At 42.1% G+C, this 15,557-nt stretch overlaps 3 annotated features.

The window, feature by feature from the left end:
• Window positions 6,362–7,561: an enhancer, noted in NCBI's record as "CDK7 strongly-dependent group 2 enhancer chr2:76098746-76099945 (GRCh37/hg19 assembly coordinates)". NCBI's record gives its function as "activates an origin of replication core promoter dependent on BRD2, BRD4, P300/CBP, MED14 and CDK7 cofactors, with strong dependence on CDK7, by STARR-seq in HCT116 cells {active_cell/tissue: HCT116}" and the evidence as "EXISTENCE:reporter gene assay evidence [ECO:0000049][PMID:35650434]".
• Window positions 7,838–8,635: an enhancer, noted in NCBI's record as "OCT4-NANOG-H3K27ac hESC enhancer chr2:76097672-76098469 (GRCh37/hg19 assembly coordinates)". NCBI's record gives its function as "activates a minimal SCP1, AML or CMV promoter by ChIP-STARR-seq in naive H9 embryonic stem cells {active_cell/tissue: H9 hESC(naive)}" and the evidence as "EXISTENCE:reporter gene assay evidence [ECO:0000049][PMID:30033119]".
• Window positions 8,636–9,434: an enhancer, noted in NCBI's record as "OCT4-NANOG-H3K27ac hESC enhancer chr2:76096873-76097671 (GRCh37/hg19 assembly coordinates)". NCBI's record gives its function as "activates a minimal SCP1, AML or CMV promoter by ChIP-STARR-seq in naive and primed H9 embryonic stem cells {active_cell/tissue: H9 hESC(naive and primed)}" and the evidence as "EXISTENCE:reporter gene assay evidence [ECO:0000049][PMID:30033119]".

Raw genomic sequence — 15,557 nt, 5'->3', positions numbered from 1 at the left:
GATCAGGAGCACAGCGGACACCCTGACGGATCCGGAGGGATAGAACTCAGCAGTGGGTCTGCCATGGCGGCAAACAGCAGTGGTAGACGGCTAGCGAAAGCTCAGCTCGAGCTGTAACAAACATGGACCAGAAGAGTGCAGTTGCAAGATTTAATAGAGTGAAATAGAGTGAAAACAGAGCTCCCATACAAAGGGAGGGGACCCAAAGGGGGTTGTCAAATGCCTGGGTTTATATCCCGATCCTTGTCCCTCCCGCTGTGCTCTCAGGCAATAGATTGGCTATTTCTCTACCTCCTGTTTTTGCCTAATTAGCATTTTAGTGAGCTCTCTGATTGGTTGGGTGTGAGCTAAGTTACAAGCCCCATATTTAAAGGTGGATGCAGTCACCTTCCCAGCTAGGCTTAAGGATTCTTAGTCGGCCTAGGAAATCCAGCTAATCCTGTCTCTCAGTCCCCTGTCTCAACAGGAAAACCCAAGTGCTGCTGGGGAGGTTGGCCGATGACTGCTCTAACTGCTTCTGGCTGAATTGGGGCGTAGTAGGGGTGGTGCAATTGAGATTTCCTCGGGAGGGGTGCTTTCGATGTCATTGACATCGGAGCATGGGCTAGCAGGCTGGTCCAGGGGTCCGCGGTAGATCTTAGTCATAGACTGCATCTGGGGCTCCATTTGAAGAATGATTTGTAGTTTTGCAGCTTTGATTCCAGAAGAGACAAACTTAACAAGGAGGTTAAAGATATAGGGATTGAAATGTATGGCCTGCAGTGCAAGGGATTACTTCTTTGGCACACTGTACAGGCCCTGACTATCTGCTTGATAGTTTTGAAAAGGCCTGGTCCAGTAAATAATAATTCGGCCATCTGATGGGTGCTGTCAATGCCTAAGTGGAAGGTTTGGTGAAGGGATTTAAGTAATTTCTATTGGTTAGCTGCAGGCAAAAATATTTTCCTTCTTTGGTGGCTAGCCATCTGGAGGGGAGGAAAGTATGTCCTTGTGAGGTTCCTTATTCTATTTTTCCTGCTGAGTACTGGGGCTTGGTTTCCTGGAGGGGATTACCCTATACTAGGGGTCCTTCTATAAGCATTTCTAATGGAGCCTCCTGCCTTGCGGCTCTTTTGACTTTAATATCCACTTGGCGGTTTTCTTCTATTTTCCTTTCCTTTCTGATGACCCTGGCAGTGTAAGACTGTCACCTCTTTAGGTTTCTGTGCAGCCAATAATAATCTCCTAATGGCTTCCTGATGTTTGATAGGTGTTCCCTAGGAAGTTAGGAATTCCCTATCTCTCTATATTGCTGCATGGGCATGGTGGACTAGGTAAGCATACTTAGAGGCTGTATATATATTTACCCTTTTTCCTTCTCCTAATTTTAGTGCCTGAGGGCTATTAGTTCTGCCAGCTGAGCACTAGTTCCTGGAGTGAGGGGATTACTTTTAAGTATTCTATTATCACTGACCACTGCATACCTTACTTTTTGAAGTGCTTTTTTTTTTTTACAAAGGAACTTTCATCAGTATACAAGTTGAGGATGGGATCAGTCGAGGGAACCTCTAAAAGGTTCCCTCTAGCTGCACAGGTTTGAGCAATTACTTGTTGGCAGTTATGTTCTATCTTTTCTTCATTGTCTGGAAGAAATGTGACTGGATTAAGAGGTGCACAAGTGCGCAGTCGCAGCACTGGCCCTTCAAATAATAGAGCCTGATATTTAAGTAAATGGTTGTCTGACAGCCACAAGTCTCCTTTAGCAGTGAGTACGCCATTCACATCATGAGACGTCCACACAGTAATATCCCTTCCCTGTATTATTTTAACTGCTTCAGATACTAAGACTGCTACTGCCGCCACTACCCGTAAACAATGAGGCCAACCCTTTGCCACTGCATCAATTTCCTTACTCAGGTGGCAAGCTCATCCTTTGGACCTGTGTAAGGACTCCTAGAGCTATTCCTATTTTTTCTGTGACATATAAAGAAAAGTCTTGCCGCGTTGGCAAGCTTAACACTGGGGCTTGGGTTAGGGCCTCCTTTAGGCCCTGGAAAGCTGCTTCTGCTTCAGGTATCCATCTTACTAAATGGGTATTGGCTTTCTGAGTTTCTTTAATTAGTGTATATAATGGTCTGGCTATTTCGTTGTACCTGGAAATCCACATTCAGCAGAAACCTGTTATGCCAAGGACCTTCTTAGTTGCTTTAGGGTTTTGGGATGAGGATAAGCCAGTACAGGTTGGATACATTCCTCACAGAGGGCCCTGGTGCCTTTGGATAATTTTAACCCTAAGTATTTAACCTGCTGTGAGCAGAGCTGAGCCTTTGGTTTGGAAACCTTGTAGCCACACGGAGTGAGGAAATTTAAGAGCGCTTGGGTGGCTTGATGGCACAAGGTTTCTGAACGGGTGGCTAAAATTAAATCATCCCCATACCGAAGGACAAGACTGTCCAGGTATGAGAATTGGCTCAAGTCTTGGGCTAATGCCTGGCCAAATAGATGGGGGCTATCCCTGAACCCCTGGGGTAAAACAGTCCAGGTGAATTGAGACATTGGGTTCAAAGGATCTTCAAAGACAAACAAGAATTGAGAATCAGGATGTACAGGGATGCAGAAAAAGGCATCCTTAAGGTCCAGGACTGTAAACTACTCTGCTTCCTCTGGTATTAGGGAAAGCAGAGTATAAGGGCTAGATACAGCTGGGTATAGAGGAAAAACAGCCTCATTAATAATCCTGAGATCTTGCACTAACCTCCACTGTCTGTTGGGTTTCTGTACTCCTAAAGCTGGAGTATTGCAGGGGCTATTGCATGGTTTTACTAGGCCTTGGGCTTTTAGGTCCTTAACAATCTTTTGGAGTCCTTGCTGGGCCTTGGGTCTAAGGGGGTACTGCCTTTGGTAGGGAAAGGAGGCAGAATCCTTTAGTTTAACTTGAACAGGACGGGCATTTTTTGCTCATCTATATTGTCCTTCTGTTGCCTAGACTTTAGGATTAATTCCTTCCTCAAGCAGGGGAAAACAAACGGGTGTTCCTTCTCCTATGTTCAGATGTATAATGGCCCCCACTTCTGCTAGAATGTCTCTCCCTAACAAGGGAGTGGGGCTTTCAGGCATAATTAGAAAAGCATGTGAAAAGAGTAAAGTTCCCCAGTCACAACTTAGTGGCTGGGAGAAGTATCTAGTGACTGGCTGTCCTAGGACCCCTCGGATAGTGACAGATCTGGAGGACAGTTGTCCAGGACAGGATAGTAAGACTGAGAAGGCCATGCCAGTGTCCAGGAGACAGTTAACCTCCCTGGCCCTCAATGGTCAAGCAAACCGGGGGCTCTGTGAGGGTGATGGCATGCGCTGGCGCTTGCCCCGGGCACCCTCAGTCCTGCTGCTGGATCATCTGGTTAGTGGCTTCTGACTCAGAAGATCTTCGTCCCCTGGGGCAATGGGCCTTCCAGTGATTCCCTTGACATAAGGGGCATGGACAAGGGGGCGGCTTATTTCTACTTGGACAATCTTTTTTAAAGTGTCCTTGTAGACCACACTGGAAGCAAGTCCTATTAGGTTTGATTTTCCCAGCTTTTCCCTTTTCCAGAGCCTCCAAAATCCACTTGCCTGAGGTTCATGACTAAAGTGGTGGCCTTTTTTTTAATCCCGTTTGTCCCGATCCGCCTGCTCCTCCTGATCTCTATTATAAAAAAACCAAGGTTGCCAAGTTCAATAGGGTTTCTCAGTTTTGCTCCAGGCCTAAGGCGGACTTTTGAAGTTTTTTTCTAATGTCTGCAGCTGACTGAGTGATAAACTTATCCTTTAAGATTAGTTGGCCTTCAATAGTCAGGTGACAGAGAGGTATGCTTCCTCAATGCCCCCCTTAGTCTCTCCAGAAAGGCAGTAGGATTTTCTTCCTTTTCCTTTGTTATAGTGGACATCACTGAATAATTCACAGGCTTCTTCCTAGTTTTCCCTAGTCCTAGCATGCAAGTTAGCAAATGTCTGTGGCACCAATCTCCATGTTCTGATTCTGTGTCCCAGTGAAGGTCTACACAGGGAACTGCCTGCTGGCCTTTGGGGAATTGTTCGCTTTCCTCTGTTGTCATCCTATAATTGACCTGACTGAGATACCAGAGATAGCCAAACTCTCGGGCTGCAGTTGTGGCGGCACTTCTCTCATTTGGGGTTAGTGTCTGATTTAACAGTAACATTATATCTCTCCATGTCAGATCAAAGGATTGTCCTAACCCTTGTAAAACATCAATATAGCCATCAGGGTTAGCTGAGAATTTACCTAGGTCTATTTTAACTTGCTTTAAGTCTGAGAGAGAAAAAGGTACATGCACTCTGGCTGGGCTGAATTCTCCTCCCACTGCTTGGAGGGGGCATAATCAGGGAATATTGGCACTGTTTGGCTCATTGTTTATCCCTTTGTCTATCTCCTATGGACCATTTGGGTAAAAGGGGGGTCCTTATTAGTTGGAGAAGGAGTCGGGGGGACGCTGGGATAGGGAGGTAGACTCTTGAGGGCTTCCTGTAGGGCATAAACCACACTTTTTACATAATTGCGAGTTGTCTCTTAATGAAAAGAAAGTTTGTACATATGGCACTTCACTCCATTTGCCCTCCTTTCTACAGAAGAGGTCTAGCTGTAAGATGGGGTCATAATTTATACTTCCCTCAGGAGGCCAGATTTCTCCCCATTGAAGAGGATATCGTGGCCAGGTGGTACTGCAGAAGAGTATCTTTCTTAGCGTCTGAGGGTCAAATTGGTCCTAATTCTCCAGAATACATCTCAGGGGCGTTTTTGCCTTGGTGTTGGGGGGAACGTTTCCCATCTGAAAAAATAATATAGGGATGCCAACACCCCTAGTCATTTTCCGATGAGCATTAGTCCTAGAGCGTCCTCTAAGGGCCTAATGCTTATTCTTTTCCAGGGTGCATAACCACCCATGGACCTCTGTTTATCGGATTAGTTACACTCACCGATGTAGCAGTCCTGCACCTGTTTTCCCGCCTCTCTTGACCACAAAGAAAGGGGTTCGGGCTGCTGGATTCTAGTGGTCCTTTACCAGCATACCCAACATTGCCTTTGAGCTCAGGGGTGAGTCCTAGAGCTGGGCTGGGTTCCCGAGTATTTCATAACAACCCAGCTGCCCCATCAAGATGCATTCCCATAAACAATAGTTCTTATGCAAATTCATTTCAGAGAGGGTGTAGCGAAACTTTTGAGTCAGGATTGAAATAGTCTTTTGATTCTGTAAGTACTTTAAGGCTTGGCTGAGTGCAAACAGCTCGTACATTTGAGGAGACCAATTATTAGGCAATTTTTCTAATTCTGCTTCCACATGAGTCTCTGTATCAATTACTGAATACCCATTGTGGTTTTTTCCTCAATCACCTGGGAGGAACCATCTGTCGTCCTGTCCTGAAGGGAGTTCCTCCTAGTTCTGGTCGGACCTTTGTATGGTAATTAAGATTTAAAACCCCTGTTAGGAAATCTGCTGGGTTAAGGGAATTATCAGTGGTTGGAGTTACATTACCCTTTTCTAATATAATAGCCCTATACTTTAAGCTTTTTGAGTTAGTAAGCTACCTTTTTGCTTTTTTTTTTTTTTTTTTTTTGACTTAGAATAATTCTGAACTGGTGAGGTGTGCTCACAACGAGGTTTCCTCTAAAAGTTACTTTTCTACTTTTAGCAAAGCAGTTGCCGCTACCGAATGAATGCATTCGGCCTATCCAAGGGTTACTGGGTTAAGGATTTTTGATAGGAAAGCCATAGGTTGTCAGTGGCCTCAGTGCTTTTGGGCTACGCCCTTATTTACACTCACAACAAAGTGGCATTGGAGTGTTATAGGGTCATGGAGAAGACCTTCAATTATCAATTACAGGTTTTAAATTTACCCTGGCTTTTAAAGGAATAGGGCACACTTTTTTTCTACTATTTGTCTTTTTTTTTTCTCTTTGACTCGCTCTATCTCTTTCTCCATCCCCCTCTCTCTCCGTCTCTCTATCTCTCTTCATCTCTCTCTCTCTGTCTCTCACTGTCCCTCTCTTAGCCATTACAAACTTGGGGCCCTGGCAAGGATGGTGGGGAATGGGTCCTACATAACTGCCCATGTCCAGAGCTGTATACCTAAATCAGGAGGGACTCCAGGGATAAAACTCCCTGGGTTATAGCCTAGGTGCCTAAGGACACAGCATAGAGCTTCCTTAGATCCCTTTGGAGATACAACTTGCTAGAGGAAATGAAAGTCTGAACCATTAGTACCTAGGAGGCAGGGATCAGAGGAGTAGATTCAGAGGTAAGGAGAATTTTGGGGTTACACTTTCAAGAAAGTCGTGGTTGGGACCCAGGAGGTATGGGTCAGAAGGAAAGGTAGGGGCGCACACATGGGCGACTGTTGAGTAGAGACTTCTGGCTGCGCCGTGATCTCAACCGGCTACTGCCAGGAGTTCGGGAGGACAGCTTTCTGCCTCTAGTCAGCCCTTGGCTTCCCCAAGAAAATTAAAAGTGGAAGCTGGCTCCAGCGAGACCAACATCCCCAACCCAGAAGGGTTGGGAGTTGTTAGAAAGCCCTTCCCCAGATAGCCTCACACGTGAGTCTTAAGTCTGGCAGCCACGCTAATCGTTTTTAACTGACCGACAGGTGCCCGGTATTTTCCTCCAATTGTAAGGAAGGATAGGACAGAATAGCAAGCAAAAGGGTCAATATTACTCACCACTTTGGAGGTCCCTTCGTGGTCGCCAAAATGTTACCGGGGGTCCTTGTTCACAGAACTTCCAAGATGGTGGCTAGCAGCTTCCAAGATGGTGGTGGGCCGCTTCCAAGATGGTGGCAAGCCTCGTGTTCTCTGACCTGGGGTTCTTGGCCTCACGGATCCCAAGGAATGGAATCCTGGGCCATGCCAGGTGAGTGTTATACCTCTATTAGAAGCCATGGATCACAGAAGAGAACCATGGAACCCAGTAACTAGTGTTCAGCTCGATTAGGACGAACCCAGGCACTTAGCCGTGCAGGAACAATGGCAAGCCTTTAGCCTGATCGGGAGCAGCAATGGGCGCCTCGCTGGATCAGGAGCACAGCAGACACCCTGCCGGATCCGGAGGGATAGAAGTCAGTGGCGGGTCCGGCACAACGGCAAACAGCAGTGGTGGATGGCGAGCGAAAGCTCAGCTCAAGCTGTAACAAACATGGACCAGAAAAGTGCAGTTGCAAGATTTAATAGGGTGAAAACAGAGCTCCCATATAAAGGGAGGGGACCCAAAGGGGGTTGCCATTGCCTGCTGGAAGGCCTGGGTTTATATCGCAATCCTTGTCCCTCCCGCTGGGCTCTCAGGGGATAGATGATTGGCTATTTCTCTACCTCCTGTTTTTGCCTAATTAGCACTTTAGTGAGCTCTCTGATTGGTTGGGTGTGAGCTAAGTTGCAAGCCCCATGTTTAAAGTTGGATGTGGTCACCTTCCCAGCTAGGCTTAGGGATGCTTAGTTGGCCTAGGAAATCCAGCTAGTCCCGTCTCTCATTTTATTTTAGAATAATTTTAGATTTACAGAAAGGTTGCAAATAAACCTCTTACTCTGTTTCCTCTACTGTTAACATCCTACATTACTATGGTACATGTCAAAACTAACTACCAAACACTGGTAGGTTGCATTAATTAATCATCAGCCTTCATTCAGATTTTACCTGTTTTTCTGCTGCTGTTCTTTTTCTTTAGCATGATGAAAAATTTTATTGTTGGAAAAATTTTCTAAGGAGGACATGAAACTCAGACACTGTAAATGGAAAAAGTAATAGATTTAAGGTACAGAAAAACTATTTTTTTCTTATGAAAAAACCCTTTGTGCACAGTGAAAAGTCAAATATATATTGAAAGATACCAAGATATATTTATTAGTTAGTTATTTTAATTCATTTCAAAAATAAAATTTAGAGCTTACTCAGCCCTGGAAATAGAGGAGTAAACAAAGTAGACAAAATATTGGGTATTCCTGACTACCTTCTAGTGAAACAGAGAAGACAAACAATAAATAAGCTAGTCTAGCAAGAGGTGATAAGTGCTATAAATAAAAATAGGGACGGAGGGAATGGGAAGTTCCAGGTGGGACTGGTGTGGCAGGGTGAATATATCACGTTAAACAGTGTAGTTAAAGTAACTTTCAGTAAGAAAGTGGCATTTAAGAAAATAGAATTGAGAAGGAAGAAGACTGCACACATATCTAAGGGGCACTGGTCCAGGCAAAGGCAACAGTCAGACCAAACCCCTGAGGTGGGCTCCCCTGCGGCTGGAGTGGGGAGGCCAGGGAGAATCATTCCATTCGAGATCTGAGAGGTAACAAGGGCCAGACTAGTAGAAGCTTGGAAGGCCAGAGTTAGGTTTATTTGATTTTGTTTCTATTTTGTTTTACTTTCGTTTTACTGAGTATAGAGGTCTTGCTCTGTTGCCCAGGCTGGAGTGCAATCATAGCTCATTGCAGCCCCAAATTCCTGGGCTTAAGTGATCCTCCTGCTTCAGCTTCCTATAAGTAGCTGGGACTACAGGCTTGCGCCACCACACCCAAATAACTTTTTATTTTTATTCTTTAGAGACAGAGACTTGCCATGTTACCCTAGCTATAAACTAAAATGTAATATTCCTAATATATAAAGCACATGCAGACAACAAAGATCATATTATCAGCAACTGTGCAGACAAATACAAATTAAAACTAAGAAGCTTAATTCTCCGTTGAAAACAAGGAAAGAAATTTTCCTGTCTTCCTTTTGTTTTACTTAAAACACGTACTATAAAGGCACTTTCTCATCCCTTTGAAATGTATATAAACCTTTTGAAAACTAGATAGGCCTCTTGTCAGCTTAATGTCCCAGGAATGGCTTTGTCAAGGACCTGGGAGCCATCTCTTTGAAAACGAATTATAAAGGAAGTTAGCGCCCCTATTTTCCCTTACTGTGGGAGGCTAGAAGCCTAATTTTGTCAGGCACCTTGCTCCAAGTTGCAAAACTGCCTCTTGTCAAAAAGCTATTAAAAGTTTGTTTTTCCTCTGGATAAAGCCAATGAGCTAACACAGATGGTCACCCCAAGTACCAGATGAATCTAGGATGAACTATGTTTAACAAATGGTGCTATCCAGTCCGCTTACTTGAAGACTAGTTATTATTTATCTTGAAAACATTTTGTGATGGGTTTTATTCTCTTGCCTGTATAAAAGGATGAGATTCCTTTTTATCTTCACAATTTCTTAGTGGGTTGCCTGTGAGGCGCACCACATTCTGTCGTGATGCTTATTCAATAATAAAACCATTTTCTTCCTCTACTGCCTTTGTGAAGACGTTCCTGGGTTGGGAGAAAATTTTGTTTTTAATTTTATTTCTTTGACACAACCTATATTGAGTTATTGCTATGTATTAGACGCTGTATTTATTAAGTGCTTAACATGTAGCATTGATTGTATATTAGCTCACACAATCAATAAGAAATTTAAATATTTAAGAAAAGTGAAACAACTCAGTAGGAAATTATGAAAGGACGTTCACATGCCGCTAACAAAAGAAGAAAAATAAGTGACAAATAAACAAGAAAAGATGCACAGTCTTTTCTAGTGGTAAGAAATGGAAACTAAAACAAATTAGACATATATTTATTAAGTTAACAAAAAGTAAAAAAAAAAAAAAGTATGTCCATTGTTTGGCAAGAGCATGAAAAAAAGAGCCACATTCATGTACTATTGAAGGAACTCTAAAGTAGAAAATCTTTTTTAGATTAAATTAGCAAGAACTGTCAACATTTTAAATGCATAAAGTTGGGGATATACACATACATAGATATATAATTTTTAGTGTGCTTTTCTCTTTTGCCTTTCCAAGTATAAGATTTTTGCCATTTTTCCTCCTTAAGCGTCTATCTGCCTGGGAGAAACTCACATTTGTTCAGAAAAGAAAGACTAAGGAAATATAATGCAGCTATCTTTCAAAATAGAAATATGTAACAGACAATAGTTTGGCATGTCTTGCTAAGTATTTCTCAAATTTCTTCATCTCCATCTTTAACATAAAAGCAATCAAAATAGGAGAAGTTTGTTCATAAAGTTCTTTTCTAGTCTAGAGGAGATCTATTTCACCACTGGTAAGGCTAAGCATGAGTCAGAAAGATGGAAGATATTATACATGGAACATGAAAGAAACTTGCCCCCTCCCAGGAAGAACTTTTAAGCAAGAGAGAAAGACAGAGTGGAAAAAGGGGGGATTAAGAAATAAAAAGAATAATACTTAGATGGGGGACCAGATTTGCCATTTCAGGGCTCTAGTTCAGTGAGGGGAAGGTATATTATGTCATCTGTAGTAGTAGTGAAGCCAAAAGGGGAGTTATTGCCCCATGCCTGTTTAGAAAACTGGAAACAACCTCTCAGGCTGCTTTCTAACCCTACCCAGGGTGTTACCACAGCAATCTGGTAGTGCAGCATTATCTAGAAGGGAGCTTAGCCTTCTCAAACCACTTTTTTTCTTTTCTTTTTTTTTTTGACGGAGTCTCACTCTGTGGTGTGGAGTGCAGTGGCTCGATCTCGGCTCACTGCAACCTCCAACTCCCGGTTCAAGCGATTCTCTCATGCCTCAGCCCCCCGAGTAGCTGGGATTACAGGTGCCCACCACCACGCCCAGCTAATTTTTGTATTTTTAGTACGGACGGGGTTTCACCATGTTGGCCAGGCTGGTCTCGAATTCCTGACTTCAGGTGATCCACCTGCCTCGGCCTCCCAAAGTGCTGAAATTGCAGGCGTGAGCCACCGCGCCCAGCCTCAAACCACTTTTAAGTCAGGTGGTATAGACAGTAAGTTAATCACCAGTCTTGCCATGGAGGCTACCAGAGCAAGAAAAGGTGACCCTGAGAAATTTTAGCAGACTCCTAAAGGATACTGCATTCATACAGGAGCTTCTAGCCAATGGAATCTGAAGTAGGGCTGAGTTAGCCAGGGGCTCCGCTGGGCCCCAACCAAGCCAAGAGGGGAAAATCTTGAATTATACCAGCTGCAGACTCCAGCCAACCATAAATACCAGCAGGGCAAGAGGCTGCCAAGAGAACCACTTAGAACACTTACCTCTGACCCCCCCTGATCTCCAGAGCTCAATTTTGCAATCCCTATATGCATGCCTTTACACCAGAAATTCCACACCTAGAATAATCTAATCTATAGAAATTCCTCCACATGTGCATATAACATTTCACTATAGAATTATTTATAATAGCCCAACATTAGGGAAAACATGTAATTCCCACATAGAAGAAATAATTCAATATATTATAGAGCTGTCATACTATAGAATACTATTTGAAAGTTAAAAATAATGTGTAACTTTATATATTGGCATGGAGAATGACTAAAATATATTATTTCATGTAAAAATCAAGCTCAAAACAATATGTATAAGATGATCTAATTGTCATAAAAATATGATATGTTTAGATTGTAGTTTGTCTCCACAAGGATAATCCCATGTATTACTTTAAGCACAACTTTTCTTCCTCTCACACCACCTACATAGGTCAGGGTAAAGCTACTCTACTGTAGCAAAAAGTTCCAATGACACAGTGACTCAAGAAGGAAGTTCATTTCTCACTCACTTAAGAGTCCATATGTGAATGGTCCGGATCAGCAGGACAGCTCCTTATGTAATCAGGAACCCAAGTTCCTCCCAAGACATCGTCCCCCACCCACTTGGGCACTGTTGCCATCTCATACTTAAGGTTCAGTAAGACCTAGAAGTGGAAATCATCACTTCTGCTCTCATTTTATTTATAAGAAGTACTTATATAGCCACATATATTGGGGAGCACTAAGTATACAGTAGTCTAACTGGATTACCATTTATAAGAAGATAGTCACATGGCCATTATATCAGCAAGCACTAGCTGAGGCTAACTGAACAAAAACCATTGTCTAACTAACTCAGCCTCAACTCTACTTCTGGGGCAGGAGGGCAGAATGGATTTCTGTGAACAATGAACACCCTTTATCATACCACCCCATCTCCTAGCTTTTATGGGAATAATCTGGGATTTTTTTAAGATGCTATTTACTATTCCTCCCATTATATTTTTATTTTTTCAATAACTGTATAGTCATGACAATAATCATTCAGCTTTACCTCTGTGTTTTACTGGCTTAGTTTCTCTCTGCCATTTTTTTTCCATCTTTCTCATTCATAAGTTCATGTCAATGCATTTCTTAGTTGGTAACAAATACTTTATTGATTTATATTTTCAAGAACAGCACATTGGTAATTTGCTTTCTGATTTCTTTCATGCCTGAGAGTGTCTTTCTACTGCTCTTGCACATGAATAATCTTTAGCAGGATGTACAGCACTTGGGTCACAATGATTTTTGCTGCAAAACTCTAGCTGTTTCATTGTCTTCTATTATAGTATTGAATACTTCCTAGGAAAAGTATCATTGGCAGCCACAATAATTTTCTTCCTGGATACTTCAACAAGATTATCTAAATATGGATCATTTTAATTAATTTTGTCCAGTTATATAACTGACATGGAGATTCAAGTCTCTCTTGAGCTTGGGGAAATTTTGTAATTTTTTGGTTTATTGTTTCTTTGGTATCATCCTTCTCTCTCTCCTTCTCTGGAGTTCCCATTATATTCTATCTCCTAAATAATTCATCATGAGTCTTCTTAAATTCATGGTAAATATCTCTACATCACTGTTAACTTTCTCTGCATTCTGGTGTCCATGTCTACCTTTCTTCTGTAGCATGCATTTGCTATATCTGCACAGTATTGTATGCTGTGAAGAGGAAGATTTTTATTTTGATTATATTTAAAGTATAGAAAAGATTCATTGTGGTATTTTTATATTATAAAGTTCAAGGCTGTGGTTTTTTATTCTTTTATTTATCTTAAAGTGTTCCCTTTTCATAGATGCAACATCCTTCTAAGTCTTCAAAAATACAAAATAGAGTTTCTGAAGTTACCTCTAGTTCTGTGTAGTAAGTTGGATTCATTGGGAGATTTTTGCTCTGATTCTTTAAATCTCTTTCTGATGAAGGACTGATGCTTTTTCATATGTCCGTTGATTTTTCTCTATTTGTTCATTCTTAAAGTATAGGTGGTTGTTGGTGGTTGGCTGGGAGAAAAAGAACCATCTATTGTTCAGAATTAGGAAAGGAGACTTTTTAAAAAGATTGTCATGTTCCCTCTATTTCTTTGTACTCCATATAAGGAAAGACAGCTGCTTTCAACTTTGCTGGGGTCTGTTTCCACAGGTCGGAGTCGGATTGTCGGTGAGGAGGCAAAGGTGGAGGTGGGCAGAAGCGACCTCAGGTCAGGGTCTCCACTGTGGTGAAGAGTTGCTGTTCAAAGTTTGCCCGTGAGTCTCAAAATAAACAAGACTATTGCCCTCCCTTTTCTAACTGACATGAGTTCTCTTACTAGAAGCAAGTCGTGGGCAGGGCCATGGCTATACTTAGCTCACTCTTAACGGGGGTCATCGGGAAAATGCCCCCAAAAGACACAAATTCCCCTTGGTGCCATCCATAGAATGATTTTTCCACTTTATGAAAAAAATATTGTTTAAAATGTTTTTGTAAAATATTTTTAGGTTTAACGTAAAAACCATTGCTCCTAGACAAGATCTGATGTAGTTCCCATAAAATGCTGCACAGATGTACTGAAAAGGAATAAATAGGAAATACAAATCCCATGCATCTAGTGTTTTCAATAGGAAACTTTTAGATGTAGATAAATTCCTATGGATTGAGAGAGAAGCTGGAATTTTGTCTAAATTAAATGGAATCCAACCAGGCAGGTTTAATACGTTTTTACCTAAAAAGAGTCCTTTGGGGGTATAGAGCTCTAGAAGACTATGAACAGATTCCAACATCAGTGAAGAAACTCTGCTCTCTGTGCCCCCTGTGCCCTGGGCAAAGGAGCTAAAGTTCAGGGCAATGCTCCCAACATGCTGGAAGAGAAGCCAAGCCCAACCCACTGAGACTGAAATTTAAGGCCGGACACCCTCAGCTATTACTACCCCATCCCTCTCCTAGCATTCTGGGAACATATACTCCTGTGGTGAAGAACATTCAGACATGTAAAGACACCCACCTTTAAGCTGAGGAAATATAGGATGGGAAACAGAATTTGTAAGAGATATAAGTGTATGTGAAAATCGTGAAACAGGCTCTGATTTTGAAACCCAGAAATTACACTCTGAACTCTATACAAGATCTTAGGTATATGGTCCAGCCCAGAGAGGAAAACATCCCATATTGGCAGCACCCTAAAGCTCATCCATTCATCAAATGCTAGCTGAGAATGCATGCAGATGCCTGCCACTATTTGTTGGCATCTGCACATCCCCAACAGTTTATGGAAGAACTGGGATTTACTGTCCGCCCTAACTTCTCAAAGACTTGCTCCTTCCTTCACCTGACACCACTTCCAATGCAGTACTCTACTTGGGATTGCATCTGCTTACTTCTCAAGCCAGCTGTAGCTCCCACACAGCAACTCACAGGCTGGCCAGAGCCCTTTCTGGAACTTATTGTCACTTGCACTGTATCTTACCTAGATTCCTCTGGCATACAGGAGACAGGCTTATTTGTTTTGAAACTCATACAGATTTTTTCATGTTTTTATATTCCTTTGGCCATGTCAGTGGAATTTAAGAAGGGAATAAGAATTGAAATTAGAGGATCAATTTGCCTTTTTGAAGCAAGCTCCAGATTATATACTGTAGCTTCTTGTCCTGCAAGTCCTGACAGCTCATTTACAGGGTGTTAAGTGCCAGTGTTTGGCAGTCAGCATTTGTAGTATGCCCACTGAGCCTGATTTAGAGAAGATACTATGAAGCTGAAATGAAGAGAAAATAAAAGCTGATGTTTCACAGAACTGGGAATTAAAAAGCCCTGAATTCTTGTCTTTGGTGTGGTGTCAGGCCATACCTCAAGGCCAATGTCTTCATCTCTGCATCTCAGATTCATCACTATAAGGTAAACAAAGGAATGCATAGTCCAGTTTCTCATGCCACTTGCAGAGAAGCAGCTGTGAATGGGGAGAGGAGGGACTGGTCTGTGAATTGACACTAGGGTCAGCAATGAATTGCTAGCACGCAGGATACTAGACATTCATGAGTGCACCAGAGGTTGTCTGCCACCTGGCACAAAGATGGATTGAAAAAGAAGTGAAAATTTAAAAATGTTTACAAATTTTCAAAGTTTCAATATAATTAATGCCTCAGTCTAATGAACACAATTTATTTTTATTTATTTGTGTATTATTTGTCTATCTTCCTTTCTTCTTAGAAAGACCTTTAACAATACCCAACTATGCAGAATGTACCCATGTAATTGATCACATACTTCAAATCACAAATGAACATTAAAGAGGGAAGTATAATTCCGAAATTAGAAGTCTGACTCTTCCTGGTTTGAGAGAAAACATTAAACACACATTCATACACGGTCAGTCCCTATTACACTAAGATCTGGATGAGTTATAAGAGGCTACAACTGGAAATTGAACCCACATTTCGTCCCTGACAACATAGCATATTAGACTCTAATCACTCAGTGTTGTGTTATTTA

This window comes from Homo sapiens, chromosome 2 (assembly GCF_000001405.40).
Source record: "Homo sapiens chromosome 2, GRCh38.p14 Primary Assembly".
Classification (NCBI taxonomy): Eukaryota; Metazoa; Chordata; class Mammalia; order Primates; family Hominidae; genus Homo; species Homo sapiens.
The sequence above is the reverse complement of the archived record's forward strand: the minus strand, read 5'-3'. Positions and strand labels throughout refer to the sequence as shown.